At 57.8% G+C, this 26272-nt stretch overlaps 1 protein-coding gene across 2 annotated transcripts in view; it reads right to left on the bottom strand.

Annotated features, from left to right (window-relative positions):
- The window catches only part of CRTC1 (CREB regulated transcription coactivator 1), a 98654-nt gene that overhangs the window by 34942 nt on the left and 37440 nt on the right, over positions 1–26272 (bottom strand). The window contains exons 2-5 of one of the 2 annotated variants that reach the window (NM_001098482.2): positions 4366–4482; positions 3237–3284; positions 1432–1569; positions 278–339 (exon numbers count right to left, since the gene is read on the bottom strand). In NM_001098482.2, coding sequence (NP_001091952.1) covers positions 278–339; positions 1432–1569; positions 3237–3284; positions 4366–4482 — 365 coding nt within the window. The remainder of the gene's footprint in view (positions 1–277; positions 340–1431; positions 1570–3236; positions 3285–4365; positions 4483–26272) is intronic. The other variant, NM_015321.3, reaches the window with a different exon arrangement.

Here is a 26272-nt window from a genome sequence, read left to right as displayed (position 1 = left end):
GTGCTGAGATTACAGGCCTGAGCCACCACTCCTGGTCCCACTTTTGTTTTTGTCTTTTTTTTTGTCATAAGTGGGGGGAAGGGAAATGTTAGAAGACCTCCCAAAGCTGGAACTCCTGTGTTTCAGGGTGAAGGCTAATTTCTAGAAACTTCTGGATGCATCTTAGTTTGGTCATTGTTTAAGCGACTGTGTCCTGCTTTTCCACATGTAACCATGATGAGAGTTTGGTTTTGTTTCCAACAAGAAGGGGGCGGGGGGGGGGTGTCCAGCCACTGACCTTCTCCAGCTGGTGTCCGCGGGTGGTGAGAGGTACATGGTGCCATAGGGGCAGCTGTCGGCGTGAGGTGAGTTAAGGGGGCAGTGCCACTGGCTGAGACCCCGCCTCCAACAACACACTCTCAGCCCAGGGCAGGAAGCCCCGGCTGGCTGGCTGGGGTCGGCCTGAGGCCTGCAAACAGCTGGGACCAGTAGGGCGGGGGGCGTTTCCTGCCGGCCTTTCCTGCCTGGCTACAAGCAGCCCCCGTTCCAGGGGCTCTCCAGGGGTACAGCCCTGTCCACCTAGCACTCAGCACTCTGCTCCGTGAGCACACGTGCGGGCTGCACCCCTTCCAAGGGAGGGGGTTCTGGGCTGTGAAAGTAGGGCCTGTGGGGACGCTGTGGAGTCTGAGTTCAGCTGACCCTGGTCTGGACTCTCCATCCTGGGCTGACGGGGTGGCTCCTGGGGCCCAAGGGCTCAGTCTGGGGCCCAGCTGGTCAAGCTCCCCCAGCCCACGGAAATGAGAACCGGAGAACAAGCTTCTCTGTTCTGGAGAGCCGGGGGATCCCGGGAGCAACCTGAGGCCGCTCAGACTCTGGTGTTGTGGGGCCCGGCTGGCTGAGCACCAAGGGGCGGCTGAGTTGGGGGGGAGGGGGGGACTCTGGCTGATCTCTGCGTGACCGAGTCGCAGAGGCGAATTTTACTCCTGTCTTACAGAGATGGAGCCTCCCTTGGATGCGTCCGGGTCTCACACAGACCCCCTTAGCCCCATTGCCTTGGCTGGGCTGCCCTCCGTGCAGCGCGTAGGAGAGGCCTCATCAGCTCACAGCCCTGACTGTGGGCTCCCTGCTCACGGCCTTCCTGGCCCCACTGCCCTGCCAGGTGTCTAAGCCCTCTGTGGTCAGGTATAACCTTCCTCAACTCCTGCCTTGAGAGCTGTTCCCTGTGCCCCTTGAGCCCCCAAGTCTGGCCAAAGGCTCCAGGGCTTGTGGCACAGCCTCCTCCAGGAAGTCCCCCAGGCTGCCCTGAGATCAAGCCTCCCAGATGGTGCTGCCCTGATTCTGTCCCCAGAGCTGGAAGCAGGCAGCCCTGTCAGAACCTGCTGGGTAAACTTGGGGTCCTGCCGGCACCGACAGGGCCTGGCCCCCACCCTCATCCTCTGGTGAAAAGGATATCTGCCGTCCGTGTTTGTCCACTGACAGGGGCCGGCGGTGTGGGGAGCCGAGCCGGCCACGCTCCCGGTACACCCTGTCCACCAGCCCATGGTGCCGGGTGGTCCGGCTGGTGTCCAGGCCCGAGGATTGGAAGGGGGTCTGGGGGAGGAGGAGATGGAAACAGAGAGAGAGAAATCCAAACAATGGTTACCAGCTGTGGCCCCAGCGCTGGCCCCAGAGTCTGATCGCAGGGCCCCCCACTCTGGAGCACCCTCGGCCATCGCTCCACAGCCTGGGATGGGCTTCTTCCTTCAGCCCCAGCTCCCTGGCTCTCCAAGCACTGGGGGGTAGGGAGGGGGTGTGAGCTGGGGTCCCGGGAGCCAGGGTGGCAGGGGCGTGCAGTGCAGCTGGCATGCACAGGCCAGGCAGAGCGGCACAAGCTCGGGGCCAGCGCCCGCCGGGTGCCAGGGATGTAGCCGGCCTAGGCAGCCCTCCTCCCCAGTCTCACCAGGTGCAGACAGGCCTCCGCCCTCTCTCTCCGGGCCTGGACGGCCTCCTACCCCCACCTACGTCATCCCTGGAGGGGCCTGCCAAGAGACAGCCCAGGGGCTTCCAGCCCAGGACTGTTTCGGGGCCCACCTGGCCAAGCGCGAGTTCCTGGGAGGCTTCCTTGTGGAGCCCAGGGCTGCTCTTGATTGAGACGCGGCCCCCACACACCCTCCCCCGCAGCCTCCTCCAGGCACTCCAGGCACCACCAGAGCCAAGTACAGGCGCCTTCCGGAGCCATGGCCCACTGCTTGGCTGGATGGGGCTTCCTCCCAGCACCTGGGGCTGGCACCAGGCTGGCCCTCCCCAGGCCCTGCTACATGCCCGGCCTCATGCCCCCGGGGCTGCCAGGAGCCCGCCCTGACCCTGTGTTGCCCACTTGCCATCTGACTGGGGTGAGATCAGCAGGCTCTGCCAGCTTTGGATGCAGCCAATCCCCCAGTCCGGCCATCTGGCCCCTGAGCCCTTATGCCTTCTCTGGGCAGCCGGGCAAAATGAGACTCTGATACTAAAGTGAGTCTCCTCTCCAGAAGCCTGTCCATGGCTAGGATTGCTGCTTTGTCCCAGCCTCGGCCAGAGTTCAGGGCTGACTACTGTCCCCAGCCCTGGGGACCCCCAAGTCTTTCTTCGATCCAGCATGAACTCTGCTGGTTTGGGTCTTTCCGTGGCTCTTGCCCCCAAAAGGCTGTGGGCATGGGAGACGTGGGCCTGTGACGATGAGGGTGGGAACTGTGCTGTCCAGTGCACAGGCTCCTCAGGGTAGGGGCAATTCATCTCCTTCCAGAGATGCCTTGAAGCCCAGAGGGAAACTGAGGCAGCCAAAGCCAAGTCAGAGGCAGAATGAAGCGGGGGCTGGCCACACCCGGGCTCGCCACGTCCTGCCTGCTGGCCTGGTTTGGGAGATGCGTGCACACGTGTGTGTATGTGTGTGTGTGTGTGTGTGTTTGTGTGTGTGTGTATATAGGGACGGACCATGCAGCTTTGGGGCACATGCTGGGATTCTGCTCTGCTGGACCCCAGATGGGGATGCGCGGCTATGGCATCTGCCCCAGATGGACCCCAAGAGTCCCCAGGGCCTCTCGACGCGACCATACGCACTTCCCGAGATGGGGGTGCGGAGTGGATCCATTTCCATTTGGCGGACGGGACACCTCCACCTCCCTGGGAGCCGCAGGGGCGGCCGCTTGGGGAGCTCAGGGATCCCCAGCGCCCGCACACGGGTCGGGGTCTTGCAGGCTGGCGCCGGGGACGCCGCGGCCTCAGCCTGGGGGCTCATTTACCAGAGAGACAGGAGCCGCTGCCAGGGCCTCCCCCAGAAATCCGCTGGGCTGAAAATGCAAAGAACCGAGACTTTGAGACGCTGCTGCCTTGCCTGGCCCCAAAGGCGGGATGCGTGGGACCTCCCCCCGGGCTGTGGGCCTCGGGCGACAGACACCCAACAGGGTCCTGTGCCCCTCAGCCCCACTCAGGCTGAGCTTGCAAGGTGCCCAGAGAGAGACTCTCCTCCAGGGAAGAGGGGACAGGAGAAACAGGAAAGGGAGAGAAGGGCAGGAGGGGAGAAAACCTGGCCAGGAAGGGCTGTGACAAAGAACACGCCCAGCATCAGTGATGGCCCGCACTCTGTATGCCGGAGGAGGCGCACCGTGGTGGCCAGCCCAAGGATCCCTGCCCTGTCCAGCGGCGGTGCAGGTGGCGGTGGAGCTGGTGGGTGACTTGGGAGGGGCCCCGGCTCCATCTGGCCTGTCAGTGGCCATGGCTGTGTCCGAGGTGGTTTTCTCAGCCACAGAGTAGGTGTGACCCCCCCCCAGGGGGACCTGTCCATGCAGAGCCCAGACACCGTCCTGGGGGTGGCCCTGATTCATAGGCCAGCTCCCTCGGCCCCACCCCATCCCCATCTCCACCCGCAGACCAGGGACAGGGAAGAGGGCCGCTGTGGGCCTTATCTCCTGTTTACGATAAGGCTGTGCACGGCGGCTGTGCGGCCTGCGGGAGCCGCGCTGTGTGGGCCTCTGCCAAGAAACGTTTGCAGACAAGTGGGGTCAGGCCGCCGGGCCTCCTTCTGAGAATTGCTGGGCTTGCGGATTAGTGAGGCAGGACAGAGCCAAGCCCCAGTGGCCCCGAGCGGTTCCCGCTGCCGCACAGCCGGCCAACAGGTGTAGCGGCTGCCGAAATGCTGGAGGCCAGATGGAGGGCTCGCCTCGGGGTCTGCTGATGGGGAATGGGCTGCGGGGGCACCCTGGTGGGGCCACTCTGCTTCCTCTGGTTCCCAGGGCAGACAAGGAGAAGGCAGTGGTTGGGTGGGCTCCGCCAACTGTCTGATAACCCCAGCTGTCCTCAATGTCTGGCCCCCAGTGGGAGGCTGGGGGAAGCTCCCCACAATGGGGCAGGGCCAGGGGGCGGGGCACTCACCTGGAAGGGCAGGTCCATGGTGCCACTCCCGATCTGGTTCACGTTGGGCAGGGACCCGCCATAGTACTGGCCTCGGCTGGGGCCCAGTTGCAGGTACTGGGATTTCTGGAGCTGGAGCTGCGAGAGAGAAGCCAGCAGCTGCGGGAGGGGTCACCTCCCAGGCTCACCTCAGAGTGCCAGCCCCAAAGGCACAAAAAGACCCAAGTGGTGGGATTGACAGCCTAAGTGCAGAAGTTTGCAGGACCTCATGACCCAGATGCTTAAGGAAACCAGGTGTCCCTCCACCAAAAATGGCAGAATCAGAAACCCGAGGTGCCGGGACGGCTCCCCAGGCGGGGCAATGCACCATGCAGAAACCCATGACCGTGAACCTGGGGAGCTGGCTGCCTTGCTGCTGATTCGGTCAGTCAGTGAATGGGCAAGAGAGGCACTGGCGGGCCTGCAGCCTGCCAAGGAGGCCCCTCACCAGCCCAGGGGAGCCATTTCTTATCACGGCCAGAGGCTGTGACTTGGCAGGCCAGGCGGCTTCCCACTGGCCTGAATCGGAGGAAGCTGTCTCAGAAGCGTGGTGATGGCCTTCAAAGCGTGGGACTTGTGATCCCGACGGCAGCCCACACAGAGCCAGGGCAGCCAAGTCAGTCCCCCAGACCCAGCTTGAGTTCTAGAGGGTCCTGAGCCCCATGTTCCTTCCTCATGGTCCTTCCCAGCCTCTTGGGGGCTGGGCCCAGCTGAGCGCCTTCATCTCAGCTGCATCCCTGCTTCCCACTCCCTGATGGCATCGGGGCACAGAACCAGGGGCCAGGAGCTCCCTGATGGGTCACGCTGACTCTGAACAGGGCTGGAAGCTGGCCTCCTCCCCTTCATGTGGCTGATGCTGATTTGCCAGTAACAGAGGCCCCTGACCCATGTGGCACGACCCGAGGCCCTTGGGGATGCTGGTCCATGATGCCTGCCATGCAACTGGGGGAGGCAGCCACCGTGAGGAGAGGTGGGGCTGGGCAGGCAGGAAGGAGGGGTGGTTGTCCACTCTGGCCCGGCAGGGGCGGTTGCTAGGGTGGACACTGTGTACACAACAAGGCCGACTCGTTCCTTACAAACAGCTCCTGGCAGTGCGTGGAGAGCTGGCTGCCCCACCGCCCCAGCTTCCTAGGGGGCCCTGGACACCGGAGGCGGAAGTAAAGCCCGGGAACTGGCCACCTGCCCGGCTGAGCACCTCGCCCAGGTAAACAGCTGTTTCCTGTGAGCTGAAGTGGAGCCGATGGTAAGATTAACCTTGTGTGTTATTGGGTGGCTCTCGAGGGCCTGGGGGTGAGGCCCAGGGTCTGTGCTGGGAGCCCTTGGTGGCCGCTGGCCAGACACATACACAATGAACATCCACAGTGTCCCTCCCAGCAGTCACACCAGATGAAACAGGCCAGCTCCGGGCTGTGGCAGAGGGAGGGGGTGTAGGGTGGGGGTCCTACAGCTCCCACCCCACACCTACCTGGGCATAGGTCGCCTGTGGCCTCCCGTGACTTTCTCCACCCTCTTCTGTGTCCAAGTAGCATGACAGAAACCTGTGCTACATTCACCTCTCACTGACTATATGGCCCTAAAGGCTGTGACCCCTCCTGGACCTGTGTCCCCGACCTAGAGTGAGTGCTACAGGCGGGTGTGAGAGGGACACACGACGTGTGACACAGCAGGTACTCATGCCACATGTGCTTTCTACACGGGCTGAGCTGCCAGCTCCCAGGAGGCCAGACATCAGGGGCAAGAACTCCCTGAAGCAGCTTTGTTTACACTATGTCCCCGGGCCACAGGAAACCTGGGATGCGGGGACAATCTACAGGACTGGGGACACACAGAACTCTCATGGTTCCCAAGCCCCATCTCTGTCCAAACCTTGCCCACAATTCCCAGCTCCTGTCCACTTTGCTGGAGGCACTCAGGCTTCGGAGCACAGCCCCTGGGCCAGGAGTGGACACTGAGTGGGGACTCTGCTTTTCTTTTTTGTTGTTGTTGTTGTTTGTTTGTTTTTTTGAGATGGAGTCTCGCTCTGTTGCCCAGGCTGGAGTGCAGTGGCGCCATCTTGGCTCACTACAACCTCCATCTCCCAGGCTCAAGTGATTCTCCTGCCTCAGCCTCCGAACTAGCTGAGACTACAGGCACCATGCCTGGCTAATTTTTTTTTTTGTATTTCTAGTAGAGACAGAGTTTTTCACCATGTTGCTCAGGCTGGTCTCAAACTCCTGACCTCAAGTGATCCACCCGCCTCGGCCTCCCAAAGTGTTGGGATTACAGGAATGAGTCACCGCGCCTGGCCTCTGCTCTTCTTTTGGGGAACCCCATGCTCATTCTTGGTTTTGCATGAGGAGTTGTACAGCAAAAGGGTTAAGCTGGCCCCAAGAGAGGTCTGACCTTTGTCCCCAGCTCCTGGGAGGTGACCTGCAGGAGAATATCCTGCCTGATAAGAGTGTCATTGTGTGCCTGAGGCCTTGGGCTATGGCAGAGTCTGCTCACACTGTGGTTTTAGGGTGGGAGTTTGGGCACATCAGCTTGACATCTGGAGGGACTAGAGACAGGTTGGCCATGAGGGTGGTCAGCCACGTCTACAGGACCAGCCCCCAGTACAGACCCTGGACATGCAGGCCAGGGGAGCTTCTGCGGCTGGCAGTGCTCCATGCTGGGAGAATTACGCACTGTTCACATGAGGGGCTGACTGGAGGTTCTGGCCTGGTTTCTCCTGGACCCTGCCCATCTGCCTCTTCCCTTGGGTGATTTTTTTTTTTTTTAAGATGGAGTCTAGCTCTGTCATCCAGGCTGGAGTGCAGTGGCACTATCTCGGCTTACTGCAACCTCCACTTCCAGGGTTCAAGCGATTCTCTCACCTCAGCTTCCTGAGTAGCTGGGATTACAGGTATGCAACACCACACCCAGCTAATTTTTGTATTTTTAGTAGAGACGGAGTTTCACCACGTTGGCCAGGCTGGTCTTGAACCCCTGACCTCAAGAGATTCGCCCGCCTCAGCCTCCGAAAATGCTGGGGTTACAGGTGTGAGCCACCACACCCAGCCTCCCTTGGGTAATTTTAATGTGTCCTTTCGCTGCAATAAACCATAAGCATGAACAAAACGGCTTCTGGGGAGTCCTTCCAGTGAATTTTCTAGCCAGAGGGTGGGCACGGAGACTCCTGAGTCTGCAGGAGCTGACTTTCCTCCCCAGCCTGGCTGGAACCCCTGGGAGCAGGGTCCTCCTTTCTCTGGGGTCTCAGGGTGGTGGGACGCCAGCTTGGGCTCTGCCCCCACAGACCTCTGGCCTCAGCTGGAAGAACGGCCAGATGTCACTGCACTGCAGGCAACATCACAGCTTTTCTCATCGCCACATCACAGTCCCCTGCCCCCCACCATGCTGTGCTCCCCAAACCACTGAGACCCTGAGGACGAGCTCCGTGAACCCAGCAGCCAGCCCAGGACCCGCTGCTCAGCAGCGCCTGCCGGCGGAATCCACAAGTGAACAAAGATGTGAGGGGGTGAATGAATGAATGAATGGACGCTGCTGCACCTCCTCCACAGCTGACTTCACAAGCCAGGTGACAGGCCCGTCTGGAGGCTGTACAAGCACTTAAGATTAAAACCCAGGAGGCCTCAGGCGGCAGCTTGGCCACCCCCTTCCTCAGCTGGCCCAGGCAACACAAGCCACCTCAAGGTGTAACCCTCACTTGGAGCCAGCGGCTAGCTCTGGAGGGAGCTCCTGGGATGCCACAGCAGCTCCAGCCTGCCCTACACAGAGGCTCGGGGCTGACCTGGGACTCAGGTGTCCCATCTCCACACCATCCCCATGGCTGTCAACAAGCGGGGCGACAGGTGAAACAGCTGAGGCCTGGAGAAGGCGTCCGGTAGGAGTCGGGAAAACTGCAGCTCCCAGGGCGCCCCTCACTCATGGCCTGTGGGCCAGATAGATGGGCATCTGGTCCTGGCTGCCTGGCTGTGAGAGTGGACCCCACTGGCGATTTGGAGGGCCCTGCTGAGGGTGGGTGGGCTTTGCCTCCAGCCTCCCCAGCCTCACTCCCTCCAGCCGCCCAAGCCCCAAAGTGCCCCCAGCTTGTCCTTTCCCCACTGACCCCTCATGCAAGGCCTGACGGCCCCTCCTTAGAGGGGCATCCCCAACACCCCTGCTCAAGAAGCAGCCCCCCAAGTCACAATCGCACCAGCCTCTGGCTTTGTTGTTGTTGTTGTTGTTGTTTTGAGACGGAGTCTCCCTCTTGTTGCCCAAGCTGGAGTGTAATGGCGCGATCTCGGCTCACTGCAACCTCTACCTCCTGGGTTCAAGCGATTCTCCTGCCTCAGCCTCCTGAGTAGCTGGAATTACAGGCGTGCCACCACACTCAGACAATTTTTGTATTTTTAGTAGAGATGGGGTTTCGCCATGTTGGCCAGGCTGGTCTCAGACCCCTGACCTCAGGTGATCCGCCTGCCTCAGCCTCCCAAAGTGCTGGGATTACAGGAGTGAGCCACTGGGCCTGGCTCAGCTCTCCTTTCTCTTACAATTAAAGAGAAAGGCCCACCCTAATCCAGGACGGTCTCATCTGGAGGCCCTATTTCCAACTACAGTTGACCCTGAGACAACACGGGGATTGGGGAGCTGACCCTCATGCGGCCAAAAATCCAAGTATAATTTTTTTTCTTTTTATAGTTTTTACTTCTATTTATTTATTCATTTATTTATTTTGAGACAGGCTCTCACTCTGTCACCCAGGCTGGAGGGCAGTGGCACAATCACACCTCACTGCAGCCTTGGCTTCCCAGGATCAGGTGATCCTCCCACTTTGGCCTCCTGAGTATCTGGGGCCACAGGCACAAACCACCATGCCTGGCTAATTTTTAACTTTTGTAGAGATGGAGTCTCACTATGTTGACCAGCTGGTCTCCAACTCCTGGCTTCAAGCAGTCCTCCCACCTCAGCTTCCCAAAGTGCTGGGATTAGAGGCATGAGCCACCGTGCCCCACTCCAGTATAACTTCTGACTCCTCCAACACTTAACTAATAGCCTACTGTTGACTGGAAGCCTCACTGATAATATGAGTCAATTAAGACAGATTTGGTATGTTATACGTATTACATACTGTATTCTTACAATAAAGCTAAAGAAAAGAAAATGATACTAAGAAAATCATTAAGGAAGAGAAAATGTTTGCTATTTGTGAAGTGGAAGGGGATTATCCCAAAGGTCTTTGTCCTCACCGTCCTTCACGTAGAGCTGGCTGAGGAGGAGGAAAAGGGAGGAGGAGGAGGAGGAGGAGGAGGAGCAGCAGCAGGAGGGCGGCAGCTTGGTCTTGCTGTCTCAGGCATGACAGAGGCGGGAGAGAATCCACGTATGAGTAGACATGCGTGGCTCAAAACCATTGATTCAAGAGTCAACTGTAAGGTCACCTTCCCAGGTTCCAGGAGTGAGAGTGTGGACGTATCTTTTTGTGGGACATGATTCACCCCTCTACAGGGCTTTTGAGGGTGTACCAGTACATGCCACTCTCCAGATGGGAAAACTGAGGCCCCACATGCCTGAAACTTAACCCCTGCATGACCAGCATGACTGAAGTCACATGGCCCCTCCTGGGACAAGTGTTACTGAAGCCACCCGATCTCAGATGAGAGCTTGCCAGCATCAGTGGAGGCACGTGGGAGGCAGATGTGGACCCAGAAGCTCTGACACTACCAAGCTGACCGCAGGGACCCCCGCTCCTGATACAGCCTGCGCCGGGACCCCCTCACACAAAGTCCTACCCCCCCACCTGACCCCTCTATAGAGCCCTTCGTAAAGGTGGCTTCTCAGGCCTCCGCTGACCCCCACCCCTTGCTGACAGGACCCTCGCCCTGGAGAACGCCCACCTCTGCCTCTGTCTGTGCCCACGTCCACACTCCTGCTAAGTCTACGCCCCTGCCCCGCCCAGGAAGTGTCCACAGGGCTGGATGGAGCAGGAGCCCCTAGGTAGGGGAATGGAGGCCGGGTGGCCCCAGTATAATGCGCCTGTGGCTACTTCTCCAGGATGTGGAGAGATGTTCGGGCAGCACTCAGTCTCCCAGGAATCCTGCACAGGGCACAGCGACACCTCCACCTGCCAGCCCTTCCTGGGGCTCGCTCTGCAGACCGGCCAGCCTTGGTCAGGCCCAGAAGCAACTGCCATGGCAACCGGCCAACCTTCTAATGAGATTGAGGGAAGCAGGCGGGCTGATGGCTGAGCTCGGCCCTGCAAAGCCGTGGCAGACCCAGGGCCTCCCTGTGGGGGGGCCAGGGAGGGAAGTGCTGTCTGTGCCAGTCAGGCCTCAGTTTCCCCCCCTCTCCACCTCTAGGCTTCAAAGTCTAGTCTCCACTCTCCATGACCATAGGCTCCAGCTCACATGCTTCCTCCCGGAGCCACCAGTCGCTACCTCCGGGCCTTTGCACGGGTGCTGCCTGTACCAGAAGGCTCTTCCCCCTGGGCCCACCGCTGCCCAGCACTGAGCCTCCTCCAAGGGGCCGCCCTCTGCACAGCCCCTCCCCTGACAGTCCAGATGGGGAAACTGAGGCTCAAGAAAGCACAGAGACTGCCTGAGAGCAGAGGCAGCAGGCACCTCAGCCTGAGGCATGGCCCTACAAGAGGAAGGTGGGGAGCGAACACTTTCTCCAGCCCAGCGAATGCACAGGATGTACCTGGATCCTGGATCCTGGGAGCTGACCAGGACCCCGGGGATTCGCACCCCTTGACCCTGCAGCCCCATAACTCGGGGCTTCCCAAGATGGAGTTCTGGGAAGGCTGATGAAGGCAGAGGGACCCTGGAATGAAGGCAGGAGGCCTGGGCCTTGGAGGGATCTCCAAGCGTCCCAGCAGCCGCAGGCGGGGATGTGTGCCGACTTGAAGGACACCCCCACAGGGCAAGAGCCTTCATCCTCCCATGTCCACGCTGGCTGGAACCCCTGCTGCTGGCGTGAAGCCCAGCTGGGTCAACAGCTGAAAACCAACCAAGGCTCAGGCACCCACCCGCTCAGCCAGCCCAGCTCCCGCCCCACCACGGCAGTGTCCCCACCTCCCCTGCCAGACTCAAGGCAAGAGTCTGCCCAGCACTGGGCATGGTTCTAGGTTCAGTGGACATGGCAGCCAGCCAGCCAGATGGGCACTGCTCACACGAGCCCACAGCCCAGAGCGGGCAGCAAGCATTAGATCTCCAGGCAAGTGGTGACTGTGGGAGCTTCAGCCTGAGCCACTGTGCGGCCGTGGACTGGCAGAGACACAGCACTGGGGAGCCTTGCAGGGGAGGAGGAACAGCAGGTGCCAAGGCCCAGGACTGGGAGCTCATAGGGTCTGAGATGGGCCACCAGGGGTGAAATACGGTCATCGAGGGAACGGAAGCTTCTGGAGCCACTTACCATCAACAGCCAGAGCAGGACTCTTCCCCTAAGGGCTCCAGGCCTCTACTGTGAGGCCGCACCTGCCCATGCTGCCCAGAGCCGGCCCCACAGCCCTGTCACCGCCCCCACCCCAGCACTCCCAGGGGACACGCCATCTGCTCCCTGCAGTTGAGACCTCGGCTTCAAAACGAGGCCTGCAGGAGCTGGCGTGCGCCTCGATCCAGTGCCATGCTCAGGATCCCCCGCTCCCCGGGGGGTCCCCTTGTCACTGCCCTGGATCAAGCAGAACAAAGGAGGTGAACACCCTCCAGGCCAGCTTTTAACCAGATGCACCAGCAGGGATGGCATCCCCAATGCCAGGAGGGGCTGATGCCAGTGTGAGAAGGGAGACAGGGACAAGAGCCCTCAGGCCTCTGCCCAGCCCTGGGGCATCCAAGTCTCTGACAGGTACCCCCAAAGCTCCAAGTGATGTCGGAGGCTGCAGCAAAGCCTTCTGCCCCTGACTTGTGGACATAGAACTTCCCATGTCTGACCCTCAAGCCTCCTCCTGTGCTCCTCCAAGGGCCCAGCAAAGAGCCCCAGATCTCACGCATTTTGCTCAGAAGCCCGTCGCCATCACCTGTGCGTGTTGTGGGGGAGGATTTTCTGCCCGGACGCCTCGCCATAGGGGTAAGGGATGCATGCCCAGCATCCCCTGACCGATTCATTCTCCCAGAGGCCGGGGCTGGGTAATGGCCGCAGGGTACACAGGGAATGTGGGAGCTGCTGCCCACCTCCAGGCACTGGGTCCCAGGGGAACAGGAGAGGCTAGTGACTGAGGGGATCACCTGCTGTGTAGCAGGAGCTGCCAGCCCTGACGGACCCTCCCCAGGGTGTTGCCACTGCCCACCTCTGGAAACTGTGTGTGTGGGAACACAGCTTGGAGCAGCAAGGCCACAGCCTGAGACTGACGTCCCGCATCTGTTTTCTTTCTTTCTTTTATTTGCGACAGGGTCTTTGTCTGTGGCCCAGGCTGGAGTACAGCGGCACGATCAGGGCTCACTGCAGCCTCCTGGGCTCAAACAATCCTCCCATCTCAGCCTCCTAAGTAGCTGGGAGTAGTGGTGTGCACCACCATGGCCTTTTTTTTTTTTTTCTTTCTGTAGAGACAGGGTCCCCCATGTTGTCCAGGCTGGCCTCAAGCAATCCTCCTGCCTTGGCCCCCAAAGTGCTGGGATGACAGGTGTAAGCCACTGTGCCCGGCCCACCATTGGTTTCTCTCTGTGGCCTGTTTCTTTCTATTTTTTTTTAATCTTTTACATGAAAAATATACTTTCAAAAAAGCTGCAATAAAATCCACATAAAAAATTTACCATGATCTTGTTTGAAAGTGAATGATTCAGAGGCATTTAGTACACTGTCAACCATCACCTCTGTCTGGTTCTAGAACATTTCAATCACTCCATAAAGAAACCCCATCCCCATCAGCAGTCACTCCCCATTCCCCTCCCCCAGCCCCTGGCAGCCACTAATCCGTTTCCTGTCTCTGTGGATTTATCTGTTCTGGACTTTTTTTTTTTGAGACGGAGTCTCACTCTTGTCACCCAGGCTGCAGTGGAGTGGCGCGATCTTGACTCACTGCAACCTCCACCTGCCGGGGTCAAGTGATTCTCAGCCTCCCAAGTAGCTGGGATTACAGGCACGCGCCACCATGCCCGGCGAATTTTTGTATTTTTAGTAGAGATGGGGTTTCACCATGTTGGCCAGGCTGGTCTTGAACTCTTGACCTCAAGTGATCCTTGGCCTCCCAAAGTGCTGGGATTACAGGCAGGAGCCACCGCGCCCAGCCAGCCCCTCTGTTTTCTTACAGGAGTTTTACACTTCTAGCTCTTGCATTTAGGTCTTTGGCCCATTCTGAGTTCATTCTGGCTGTCAACTTTGTTTTTGCCTCAGTCCCTCCATGCCGTGGGTCCCCACGTTTACTGAGGACCTGATGAGAAGAGCTGAGCTGACCCCTCGCTGCATGGCTGGTCCACCAGAGTTCCTCAGTAAACATCTGCCGAGCTTGGGAAGCGATAGGGAATGATGATGAGAGCATCAGGGGCACGTGGATTCCAGGCTGAGTCTCCTGGGCCCTGGAGACACTCCCCTGCTGCCTCCTTGCTCCCTCCACTCATGTAAATACAGAACCACATATACAAACACCAGGCCTGCCTCGGAATGCCTTTTATCAGGCATGGTTGCTGCTGCCAAATTTCCAGACCCAGCTGAACAGAGGGTCTGCCGTGAGCACGTTTTGTTTCTCTTGTAGGTGGCGGCTGGGACGTGTGAAGGGTCCCTCGGGGGCTGAGCGCACACAGCTGGCTCACAGGGGCCTCCCTCCCCACAAAAGAGACTCCAGCCCTGCCAGCTGGCCAAGCGCCCACCCTGTGTGGGGCCTTGCAGCAGTCCTAAGAGCAGGGAGACACAGCTGTACCCTTATTTTGCAAGCTGGTAAATTGAGGCACTAAGGGAAGACAGGAGGGGCCTCAGTTACAATCCAGGCTCTTTCCCCAGCCGGGAGGGCTGTCTCTTGTCATCATTTTTTTTTTTTTTAAGAGACAGGTCTTGCCCTATTGCCCAGGCTGGAGTGCAGTGGAGTGAACACAGCTCACTGCAGCCTCCATCTTCTGGATTCAAATGATCCTCCTGCCTCAGCCTCCCGAGTAGTTGGGACTATAGGTGCCCGCCACCACGCTCAACTAAGTTTTTTATTTTCAGAGATGGGGTCTTCCTATGTTGCCCAGGCTGGTCTTGAACTCCTGGCCTCAAGTGATCCTCCTGCCTGGCCTCCCAAAGTGCTGGAATTACAGGTGTGAGCCACCACACCCGGCCTCCTGTAGTTATTCTGAAAGGCTTCTGGAGTATCCCCAGGTTTAAAGCTCTCTTTTCCTTCCCCCAGAGGCAAACCCCAACTCCCCACTGGTGGCACTCAAGGCCCTCCTCTGCCTTTTGCTGCTGGGCTCTGCACCCACGAAGCCCTTGTCTGGAACCTTCCACAACAGTTCCCATTCATCATCTGGGACTCAGTTCAAGCACTACCTCCCCAGGAAGCCCTGCCAGACCCCCAATCCCTGCATCCAAAATAATCCTCTGTCTTAGCAGCCCAGGCTGCCATGATAAAATACCAAAGACCAAGCAGCTTAAATGACAGAAATGTCTTCCTCTGGACAGAATGCCTTCCTTCTGGAGGCTGGAAGTCCAAGATCAGGGCCCAGCAGTACCCAGACCAGGTTCCAGGTACAGCGCCTTTCCTGGCCCTGGGGGGCCAACCTTCTGAGTCCTCGAATGGCCTCTCCCAGCTGTGTGTGCTTAGAGATCTCTCTTCTTCTTCTTACAAGGCCTCCAATCCTAGAGATCGGGACCCCCCCTTTATGGCTTGATTTAACCTTAACTACCTCCTAACAGCCCCACCTCCAAATACAGCCTCGCTGGGGGTGAAGGCTTCAACTTGTGAGTTTGTGGGAGACAGAATTCAGTCTGTGGCACCTGCTCACAAATAAGCCGCCTGCCTGTGTCTTTCTGCAGGCCAACATGCCCTGCCCCTGGGGGCCCAGCATCACCCCCAGGAATTACAGGAACTGTCCATAGACAGGTGTATCTGAAACTGGGCAGCCCAGAATCGCCCCACATCCCAAGTCATCAGGGGGCAACCACAGGCAGCCAAACCCAGGTGAAGCCCACGGAGCCCAGGACTCTCCCTGCAGGAGCCCCCGGGGTGCAGGGTGGGTGAGGAGAGGGGGTTCCTGGGTCGGGCTCCAGTGTGCGCTAGCCCTAAAGGGCCAAGTGTCTGTGGTACAAAGGTGACCAGCAGTGCCTTCCCCCCACCCCCCGGGGCAGCCAGGCAGCCGAGGTGTGACGAGCAGGAAGCTGTGGGCGGTGTTTCTGGAATGAGTCTCCCGAAGATAAGCAACGTGCCTGCTCGGTGGGGTTCACGGGCTGGGGACGCAAGGGGGCTAGCGGGGGGCCTGCTGTCCAGCTGGAGGCAGCACAAGGTAGCAGGAGCAGCCCAGAGTTCAAGGCCAGGCAGCCCAGGATGAATCGGGTCCTGTGTTAGATGGACTCACAGCTCCCCTGAAACTCATGTCCACCAAAACCTCGGAACGTGACCTTATTTGAAAAGAGAGAGTTTCTGCAGATGTAATTAGTGCGGGATCTTGAAATGAGATCATCCTGGAATTAAGGAGGTCCCTGCATCCAATGACTGGTGCCCCCATGAGAGGGGAGGACAGAGACACTGAGGAAAGTGGGCCAAGCGGCAATAAAGGCAGAGATCGGGGTGCCGCGTCTACAAGTCAAGAGCCTGCCGAGGATCGCTGGGCCACCAGGAGCTGGAAAGGGGCCTGAGACTGGCTCTCCCTCATGGCCTCAGGAGGAACCAGCCACGCTGACTCCTTGATCTTAGGCTTCTGGCCTTCAGAGATGAGAGACAAGACATTTCTATTGTCTTAAGCCACCTGATTCATGGTGCTTTGCTATGGCAGCCTAAGAAAATTAGCCCAGGCTGAGCACATTGGCACACACCTGTAGTCCCAGCAACACGGGAGGCAGAGGCAGTACTGTTTGAGTCCAGGAGGTGGAGGGTGCTGTGAGCCAAGATTGTACCACTCACTGCACTCCAACCTGGGTGACAGCGAGACACTGTCTCTTAAAAAAGGGAAGGAGGGAAGGAGGGAAGGAGGGAGGGAGGGAAGGATACTCAGCCCCGGAACTGTGGAGGGCCTGGGACAAGCCCTTCCCTCTCCAAGCTCCCTCTGGACATGGGACTCAACTAAGGCCACGACTCGGGGCACACCAGGAGGAGACAGCCAGGGGGGCCACTGGTGGCTTCTGGGCTGGTCCCCAGGAGTAGGGGGACCAAGGGGGACACCACTGGCTGAAGAGTAGGGTCAATAAGGGCCCAGAGGGGGCAGGGATCCTGAGACTAGGGAGTTGGGAGGGGTGGTTACAGGAACCGTCCGGGATGAAGGATGAGGTAGGCAGCGGGTCGGGCAGCAGGAACTGCAGGGGTGGGAGTGGAGGCTGGACACAGGGAGCAGAGACCAGGCCAGGCCAGCTCTCATGGTAGTCACTGCAGAGGGACGGGGAGGGTGCAGATGAAGCCCAAACCAGGACAGCACAAGGAGCGGCGAACACCCAGCCGGTGACTCCACGGCAGGGCTGTAGGGCGTAGGGGGGCCCCAGTACACTGGGAGAAGGGCCCATCCTGAAGACAGGCCTACCCGGAAGGCCCTGTGAATGTGACCCCGACTCCACCCCAAAGTCCAGGGGCTGCACCAGGTAGCGTGTGAAGCAGGGGGGCTCGGTGTTCACCAGGCGCCCCCTGCCTGGGACATGCCCCAGCAGATCCAGGGGAGGCAGGAGGGACCCTGAGTGAGGAGCTGGTGATGTGCTTCGTGGGATCTACACACGGCAAAAAGCCCTTACCTCGTAAGGGCTGCTGAGGCCCTCAGGAGAGCCCATCCCCACCAACGCCACCAGCAGGGCCAGCTGAAGGTGCAGGCCACCTTCCCAGGGTAAGCCATCAGAAGCCACGGCCGGCCTTGGACAGGACATAAGCACAGGATGGCTGGCACCCAGCACCATCCCACCTCGATCTGTGTGGGGAGCTGCATGGCTAAGTGCACTTGCTGCTGGGCAGTGGCCCCTGGGTGGGGTGTGGCAGACCCTGGCACCCAGTGCGTGACCCCACCATAATCACTGAGGCCCAGGCAGGAGTCACAGCTCCTGGTTTCACAGGCAACCCCAGGAATCTGCCACAGGCTCCAGCAGGGCCAAGAACGAGGATAAGGAGTGTGGACACCACCTCTGGGGGAGGCCACAGGGCTGCGGGGCTGGGAACTGAAGGGGCTTCCAAGCAAATGAAACTGAACCAACTTATTATTATTATTATTATTCTTTTAAAGATGGGGTCTTGCTGTGTCACCCAGACTGGAGTGCAGTGGTGTAATCATGGCTCACTGCAGCCTCAACCTTCCAGGCTCAAGCAATCCTGTCACCTCAACTTCCCCAGTAGCTGGGACTACAGCGGCAGGCCAACACGCTTAGCCAATTTATTTTTAGTAGAGACGCGGTCTCCCTATGTTGCCCAGGCTGGTCTCAAACTCCGGAGCTCCAATGATCCTCCTGACTCGGCCTCCCACAGTGCTAGGATTACAGACATGAGCCACCACACCCAGCCTGAACCAACTTCTTTTTTTTTTTCTTTTTTTTTTTTTGAGACGGAGTCTCGCTCTGTTGCCCAGGCTAGAGTGCAGTGGCGCGATCTCAGCTCACTGCAAGCTCCGCCTCTCGGGTTCACGCCATTCTCCCACCTCAGCCCCCTGAGTAGCTGGGACTACAGGTGCCCGCCGCCACGCCCGGCTAATTTTTTTGTATTTTTAGTAGAGACAGGGTTTTACCACGTTAGCCAGGATGGTCTCGATCTCCTGACCTCGTGATCCGCCCACCTCGGCCTCCCAAAGTGCTGGGATTACAGGCGTGAGCCACCGCGCCCGGCCAGCCTGAACCAACTTCTAAAGAAAACAAGGCGGGCAGGTGCGGTGGCTCACGCCTGTAATCCCAGCACTTTGGGAGGCCAAGGGAGGTGGATCACCTGAGGTCAGGAGTTCGAGACCAGCCTGGCCAACATGGTGGAACCCTGTCTCTACTAAAAATACAAGAATTAGCCAGACATGATGGCAGGCACCTGTAATGCCAGGTACTTGGGAGGCTGAGGCAGGAGAATCACTTGAACTCGGGAGGTAGAGGATGCAGTGAGCTGAGATCGTGCTACTGCACTCCAGCCTGGGCGACAGAGCAAGACTCTGTCTCAAAAAAAAAAAAAAAGGCCAGGTGAGGTGGCTCACACCTGTAATCCCAGAACTTTGGGAGGTCTTTGGGAAGTCAAGGTGGGCAGATCACTTGAGGTCAGGAGTTCTAGACCAGCCTGGCCAACATGATGAAACTCCGTCTCTACTAAAAATACAAAATTAGTTAGGTGTCGTGGCACATGCCTGTAATCCCAGCTACTCAGGAGGCTGAGGCGGGAGAGTCACTTGAAACCAGGAGGCAGAGGTTACTGAGCCAAGATCGCACTATTGCACCCCAGCCTGGGCCACAAGAGGGAAACTCCATCTCCAAAAAAATTAAAAAAAGAGGATAAGGCACGGAGAACTTCCCCGGAGCTGCTCTGTGATGTTACGACTGCTTTTTCAAGTGACTTGGTGTCAGGAATGAATGAAATCGGGATCTCTGATACTTTTAAGCCCAAGCCCATTGTCCTGGTTTTGCTTACCCACAATGCATCCTGGGCAGCGATTGAAGCTGAAGAGGCCTGGAAATAAAGTTTCAAATGAGGCTAATGTACAATTCTTCACCTAGTAACATAAGGGGGTGGAGAGGCAGAGATGGGCCGGGACGGGACATTCTCCCAACCTCTGTGCAACCTCACCGGGAGGGCCAGGACACCAGGGGAGGGGTCACTTGTCCTGACCCCAGAGTCCCCCTTGGTCCATCCCCAACTCTTGGGCATGATATCAGTCTCCTGAGGCTGCTGTAACAAATAAGCACAAACCAGGTGGCTGACACAACAGAGATGTTTCCCGCACAGCTCTGGAGGCTCTGAAAGTAAGGTGGAGGCCGGGCACGGTGGCTCACGCCTGTAATCCCAGCGCTTTGGGAGGCTGAGGTGGGTGGATCACCTGAGGTCATGAGTTCGAGATCAGCCTGGCCAACATGGTGAAACCCCATCTCTACTAAAAATACAAAAGAAAATTATCTGGGCATGGTGATGGGCGCCTGTAATCCCAGCTACTCAGGAGGCTGAGGCAGGAGAACTTCCTGAACCTGGGAGGCAGAGGTGGCAGTGAGCCAAGATTGTGCCACTGCACTTCAGCCTGGGCAACATAGTGAGACTCCATCTCAAAAAATAAAAATAAAATAAAAGCAAGGTGGCCTCTCTCCCAGCTGTTGCGGCTGCTGACCATCCTTAGCACTTCTTGGCTTGTAGACGGATCGCCTCATTCTTTGCTTCTGTCTGCTTGTGTCCTTTTCCCTTTCTTCTTCTTTTTTTTTTTTTTTTTGAGACAGAGTCTTGCTCTGTCACCCAGGCTGGAGTGCAGTGGCGTGATCTCGGCTCACTGCAACCTCCACCTCCCAGGTTTAAGCGATTCTCCTGCCTCAGCCTCCCACATAGCTGGGACTACTGATGCGTGCCACCATACCCAACTAATTTTTTGTATTTTTAGTAGAGATAGGGTTTCACTGTGTTAGCCAGGATGGTCTCGATCTCCTGACCTCGTGACCTGCCTGCCTCGGCCTACCAAAGTGCTCGGATTACACGCGTGAACCACCGTGCCTGACCTTGTCCTTTTCCCTTTCTGTCCCTGTGCCTCTGTTTTGCCTTGTTTGTTTGAGACAGGGTCTCACTCTGTCACCCAGGCTGGAGTGCAGCAGCACAATCATAGCTCATGGCAGCCTTGAACTCCTGGGCTCAAGTGATTCTCCTGCTGCAGCCTCCTGAGTAGTTGGGACTACAGGAGCACACCACCAAGCCTGGCCAATTATTTTCTAATTTTTTGCTGAGATGGGGTCTGGCTATGTTGCCCAGGCTAGACCTGGACTCCTGGCCTCAAGTGATCCTCCCACCTCGGCCTTCCAAAGTGCTAGGATTAAAGGCCTAGGCCACCGTGCCTGGCCTGTTTTGCCTTCTTTTTTTTTTTTTTTTTTTTTTTCCCCAAGACGGAGTCTTTCTCTGTTACCTAGGCTGGAATGCAGTGGCACGATCTCGGCTCGCTGCAACCTCCACCTCCTGGGTTCAAGCAATTCTCCTGCCTCGGCCTCCCAAGTAGCTGGGATTACAGGCACCCACCATCACACCTGGCTAATTTTTGTATTTTTAGTAAAGACAGGGTTTCACCATGTTGGCCAGGCTGGTCTCAAACTCCTGACCTCATGATCCGCCCGCCTTGGTCTCCCAAAGTACAGGGATTACAGGAGTGGGCCACCACGCCCAGCCTTTGTCTTCTTTATAAGGACACCAGTCACTGGATTTAGGGCCCACCCTATTCCATAATGACCTCATCATGACTTAAGTCCATCTGTAAAATCCCTATTTCCAAATGAGCTCACTCACAGGTTCTGGATGAACATGAACTTTTGAGGGGACACTGTTCAACCCCATACACTCACCAAACCCCAGGTCACCTCCAGCCCACTCTAAGAACCATCCCAAGGAAGCAGATGCCCATGGCTCTCACCTCATCCCTATAGCTGGCCGCCTGAGGGCTCCTCTGGGGCAGCCAGCTCCCCTCCCGGGCCTGGGCCTCCTCTGCTGTCCCCCGGGGACCGAGGGGTGAAGCGAGGCCGGCACACGTCAGCGGTGCTGGAAATGCATGGGGCTCTGAGAGGCAGGTGGCTGGGAGCGCCGGCTGAGCCATTTGGCAGCGTCCGCCGAGTGCCTGAGCAACGTTCCTGCCCTCTAACCTGGTAATCCCACTTCTGGGAAGCTCTCCTGAGGGAAATCATCCAGAACGCAGATTTATGCGCAAAGATGTTCCTGCATCACCAGCTGGGAGAACAAGGAGCTGGAGCCTGTTCCAGGGCCCGGCCTCAACTCCAGAGAAGATCGAGGGCGCGGTACATGAGTCGGGAGGAAGCACTTTCTAGAACATCTTTACTGCAGATCTGCATGGGCACAGGCAGACCTGGGCTGAGGCTGGGTGGCCCCCGTCCCTGGGATGTCCCCAGGGGATCTGGGCAGCAGGAGCAGCCAGGGTGACCGGCAGCCCCGGAAGCGCGACACACGGGGAGAGAGGAATTCTCCAGAACACGGGAGGGCCGAGGCGGACCCTGTAAGCCAGGAGAGGGAGACCATGCAGGCTGTGTTGGGGGAAGGTGGCGGAATACCTGAGCCACGCGAGAAAGACAGAATTAGACTCAGAAGAGGAGAAAGAAGCCCCTAACACAGGCCAGAGAGGTGGGAGGCTCAGGAAGAGGGAGGAGGGGCTGGCGCCAAGGACGGCCAGGCCTCCCCAGGGATGCAAGTGGCCAAGCCAGGTCCAGCCGGCAGCCTGGTGCCCCTGTGAGCACGCATAGCCACAGGTCTGGCACTGATGCCTTCTCCAACGCTGAACCCAGGGGCCCGTGTGTGGGGACGGCTGGCCAGGCTGCCCCAACCTCCGCTCCAGGAGGGTGGCCGAGGCCTCCTAGGTTCTGGGTCCTCCTCCTTCTCCTCTCCAGGATAGAGACAGGCAGGAACCCAGAAACCAAGCGATGACAGAGAGCAAGGATTCTGGGAGCTGGACAGGGGCTCCCTGGAGGCCACAGGGAGGGACAACTGAGATGGATCAAGCCACCTAAGGGGTGCTGGCCTCAGGCCCGAGCTGGGGGAGAGAAGGGGCTGGAGGTGCAGAGGCCTGCAGAGGTCAGAGGTCACAGGAGGCCTCCCCCTCAGCATTGCCATGAGGGGCCAGGCAGGGGCACTAGGGAGCAAGGGGGTCTCGCACAGGGACGCTGGCCTAGAGTGCTATGAAGAAAAGATACTGAGCTCCCCAAGGTGAAGCATACAGGGGTCTCCTGGGTGTGTACTCAGGACAAAGGGGACACCCCCCAGCTCCAGGCGGGTCCAAGGGACGGACCAACAGGAGCGCTCCTGGGTGGGGCCAGTGTGCTGAGGGAAGCTGGGCAGGGGGTGACAGGGTCAGAGGCCTTAGGGAACTGCCAAGGCAACCAAGAGGGTGAGAGGCAGATCCCAAGCGCTCGATGCAGGTCAGCTCAGCTACTGGGGAGTGAATTCACGGTGTCCCCAAAAGGTTATATCCACCTCCTCATCCCTGGAACCTGAGAGTATGACCTTATTTGAAAAAACAGTCTTTTCAGACATAATTAAGGGAAGGATCTTGGGATGAAGAAATCATCCTAGATTAGCCGGGAGGACCCTACATCGGGTGACTGCTGCCCTTTTAAGAGACAGAAGATGAGACACAGATGCAGAGGGGGACGGCCGGGATTGGGGCGATGCAGCCACAAGCCAAGGAACGGCTGGAGCCACTGAAAGCTGGAAGAGGCAGGAAAGATTCCTCCCCAGAGCCTCCAGAGGAAGCTCGGCCCTGCCGACACCTGGATTTTAGACTTCCAGGCTCTAGAACCATGAGAGAAGACATTCTTGTTCTAAGCAGCCCAGGTGTAGTACTTTAATATATTACAGCAGCCACCAGAAACTCACACATGGCCCCCCAGTCCCAATAGGTGCTGCTGTCTCCCCTTCCAGGGCAGGGCTGAGAACCTGAACACCCCAGGTCCCTTGATCCTAGAGCCAGCTCATCATGGAATCCCCCCACACACAGCAACAACCCATCACCTCTAAGATGAAAATGAAATTGACTCCTAGCGAGTGCAGAGAACAACACCCCACGCACCCACACACCCCACCCCACAGACTGATCAGCTGTCACTGCTCCCTCCTGGGGCCTCACCATCTGCAGAGGGGACGAGGGAGCCGTGTCGATGCTGCCGAGGAGCCTGTCCGCCCCGCCGGTTCCCGCCTGGAGCCCAGGGAACAAGCCTGGGCTCACGGTGTCGCTCTCTCAACTCCCATGACCACATATGTGGGATGCTCTGTTCTGTGCAGGGAGGTTTCACATGTCTCATAAGTGCAGCATACAGTGTCTGCTTCTGCCTGGGGTGACGGTGGAATGCCATCGCCATTAACACGCCAACGTGCATCCTCCCTCCCGGAGGCTCCAAGCGCACGGGGACAACTGAGATGACGGTGGCGTGTGCAATGTGCCCCACACTGACGAGGCTGCTGTGGAGCTGGCACAGGCAGCAAGGTGGGTCGACGCAGGGGCTGTCTCACTCCATCTGAGACCAGTGTCCCTGCAGGGCAACTGCCCTGTTGCCCACAGGCCATCTGACCACATCGAAACACATAGCTAAGGCTCCCTCTCCAGGCCCCAGACAAATGGCAATCAGGCAGAAATACCAACCAGATGCCCCCTTGCCCTCCAGAGTTCTCTCTCAGGTCTTTTATCTAATGTGACGCAAGCCCACCGTTAGGAAACCCATACTGGACCTGGGGTCCCCGGTGAACTGGCCTTGGCCACAAACTTCCAACACTTTAAGCCACAGCATGGAGACACCACGTGGCTCCGCACCTCTGGGCTGTGGTGACACAGACACCCACCCTTCATCCCTTCCTCACGCCCTGCTACTTCCTGAGAGCTGTCTTCAGAAGCAAGGATGCTAAGGCAGATGGGAAGAGACAGGTCTCCGTCTCTCCCCATGGGGAGATTGGAGATAAGATGTCAACAAACTTACAAACGGTAGGTGGACGGTTAACAACATCCGAAAGACAAAACCCACCAAATAAATGGATAAACAAAATGTGGTCCATCCGTACAACAAAATATGATTGTAGGCCGGGCAATTACAGTGGCTCAGGCCTGTAATCCCAGCACTTTGGGAGGCTGTGGCAGGTGGATCACTTGAGGTCAGGAGTTTGAGACCAGCCTGGCCAACATGGTGAAACCCCATCTCTACCAAAAATACAAAAATTAGCCAGGAGTGGTGCCCCATGCCTGTAATCCCAGGTACTTGGGAGGCTGAGGCAGAAGAATCGCTTGAACCCAGGAGGCAGAGGATGTAGTGAGCCGAGATTGCACCTCTGCACTCCAGCCTGGGCAAGAGAGCAAGACCCTGTCTCAAAAAAAAAAGACTGTAGCACTGATCCATGCTACAGCATGGACAAACCTCGAAAACACGATGCTGAGTGACAGAAGCCAGACATAAAAGGCCACATGGTGTCAGATTTTCATTGATATGAAATATCCAGAATAGGCAAAGCCACAGAGACAGATTAGTGGTTGCCTGGGGCTGGGAGTGGAAATGGGGAGTGACTACCTGCGGGGTGAGGTCTCCCTCTGGGGAGATGGAAATGTTCTGGGCGCAGACAGAAGGGAAGGTTGCACAGCACTGGGAGTGTGCTACACGCCACCACGGCATGCTCTAAAATGCTTAATTTCATGTTATGTGAACATCATGTCCATTCAAAAACTGGTGGCCGTCAGCAGTCCTTGGCCTCCTTGGCTTGTGGCCGCATCACTCTGGTCTCTGCCTCCTTCATCACGTGGCCTTCTCGCTGTGTGCCTGTGTCTTCTCCTCTTTAAATAAGGACACCAGTCATGGGATTCGGGGCCAATCCTAAATCCAAGACGATCTCATCTCAAGGTCTTTCACTTCATCACACCCCCAAAGACCTTTTTTCCACATAAGGCCAGAGTCACACGTTCCAGGACTTAGGACATGGGCGCATATGTCTGGGGGATACTCTCCAATCCACTCCCCCAGCATCTCTGAAGCCAGCTGGGAGGCACCTGGCATGCCTGTGGCCTGCGTCCACACCCCAGGTCTCCTCTCCCCAGCCAAGGGGCCCCAGACAAGTTGATAACTGCTTGGCATGTTTTCTCGTCTCCCATTCAGGGCTGCAAGCTCCCCATGGCAGGATGGCAGCAAGGCTGGGATGAATCTCATCTGGAACTTAGTCAGCGGATGCATAGGTGTGGGGGTCTCTGGTGCATATCCCCAAAACCCACAGCCTCTGGTGACTCAGGGCAGACTCCGGCCTCTGCTGAGACCCCGGCTGCACGGTGACCTAGGTACTCCCATGTGCTGGATCATGGGGTGAAGTACGTCACAGCACCTCCTGGGCAGACCCAGAGGAGGCTGGGGGACCTCAGTAAGGGCCAGTGATGATGGACTTGGCAGAATGTCTGCTGTGGGTTGCCTGTGTCCCCTGGAAACACATAGCCATGTCCTAACCCCGCCATCTATGAATGTGACTGTATTTGGAGAGAGTCTTTGCAGGTCGAGGCCAGGTGCATGGCTCACGCCTATAATCCCAACACTTTGGGAGACTGAGGCAGGTGGATTGCTTGAGCTCAGGAGTTTGAAACCAGCCTGGGCAACATAGCAAGACCCCGTCTCTACTAAAAATACAAAAATTAGCTGGGCATGGTGGATCACGCCTGTAGTTCCAGCTACTCAGGAGGCTGAGGTGGGAGGATCGCTTGACCCCAGGAGGCAGAGGTTGAAGTGAGCTATGATTGTGCCTCTGCACTCCAGCCTGGGCGACAGAGCAAGACCTTGTTTAAAAAAAAAAAAAAAAAAAAAGGCCGGGTGTGGTGGCTCATGCCTGTAATCCCAGCACTTTGGGAGGCCAAGGTGGGTGGATCACAAGGTCAGGAAATCGAGACCATCCTGGCTAACACTGTGAAACCCCGTCTCTACCGAAAATACAAAAAATTAGCCGGGCATGGTGGCGGGCGCCTGAAGTCCCAGCTACTCGGGAGGCTGAGGCAGGAGAATGGCGTGAACCCAGGAGGCGGAGCTTGCAGTGAGCCGAGATCGCGCCACTGCCCTCCAGCCTGGACGACAGAGCGAGACTCCGTCTCAAAAAAAAAAAAAAAACAGAGGTTGAACTGGAGTAGGGTATGCCTTAAATCCAATGACTAGCATCCTCAGAAGATGAGAAGAGACACAGTGA

This window comes from Homo sapiens, chromosome 19, assembly GCF_000001405.40.
Source record: "Homo sapiens chromosome 19, GRCh38.p14 Primary Assembly".
Lineage (NCBI taxonomy): Eukaryota > Metazoa > Chordata > Mammalia > Primates > Hominidae > Homo > Homo sapiens.
Note: the sequence above shows the minus strand (reverse complement) of the source record. Positions and strands in the feature narration are given on the sequence as shown.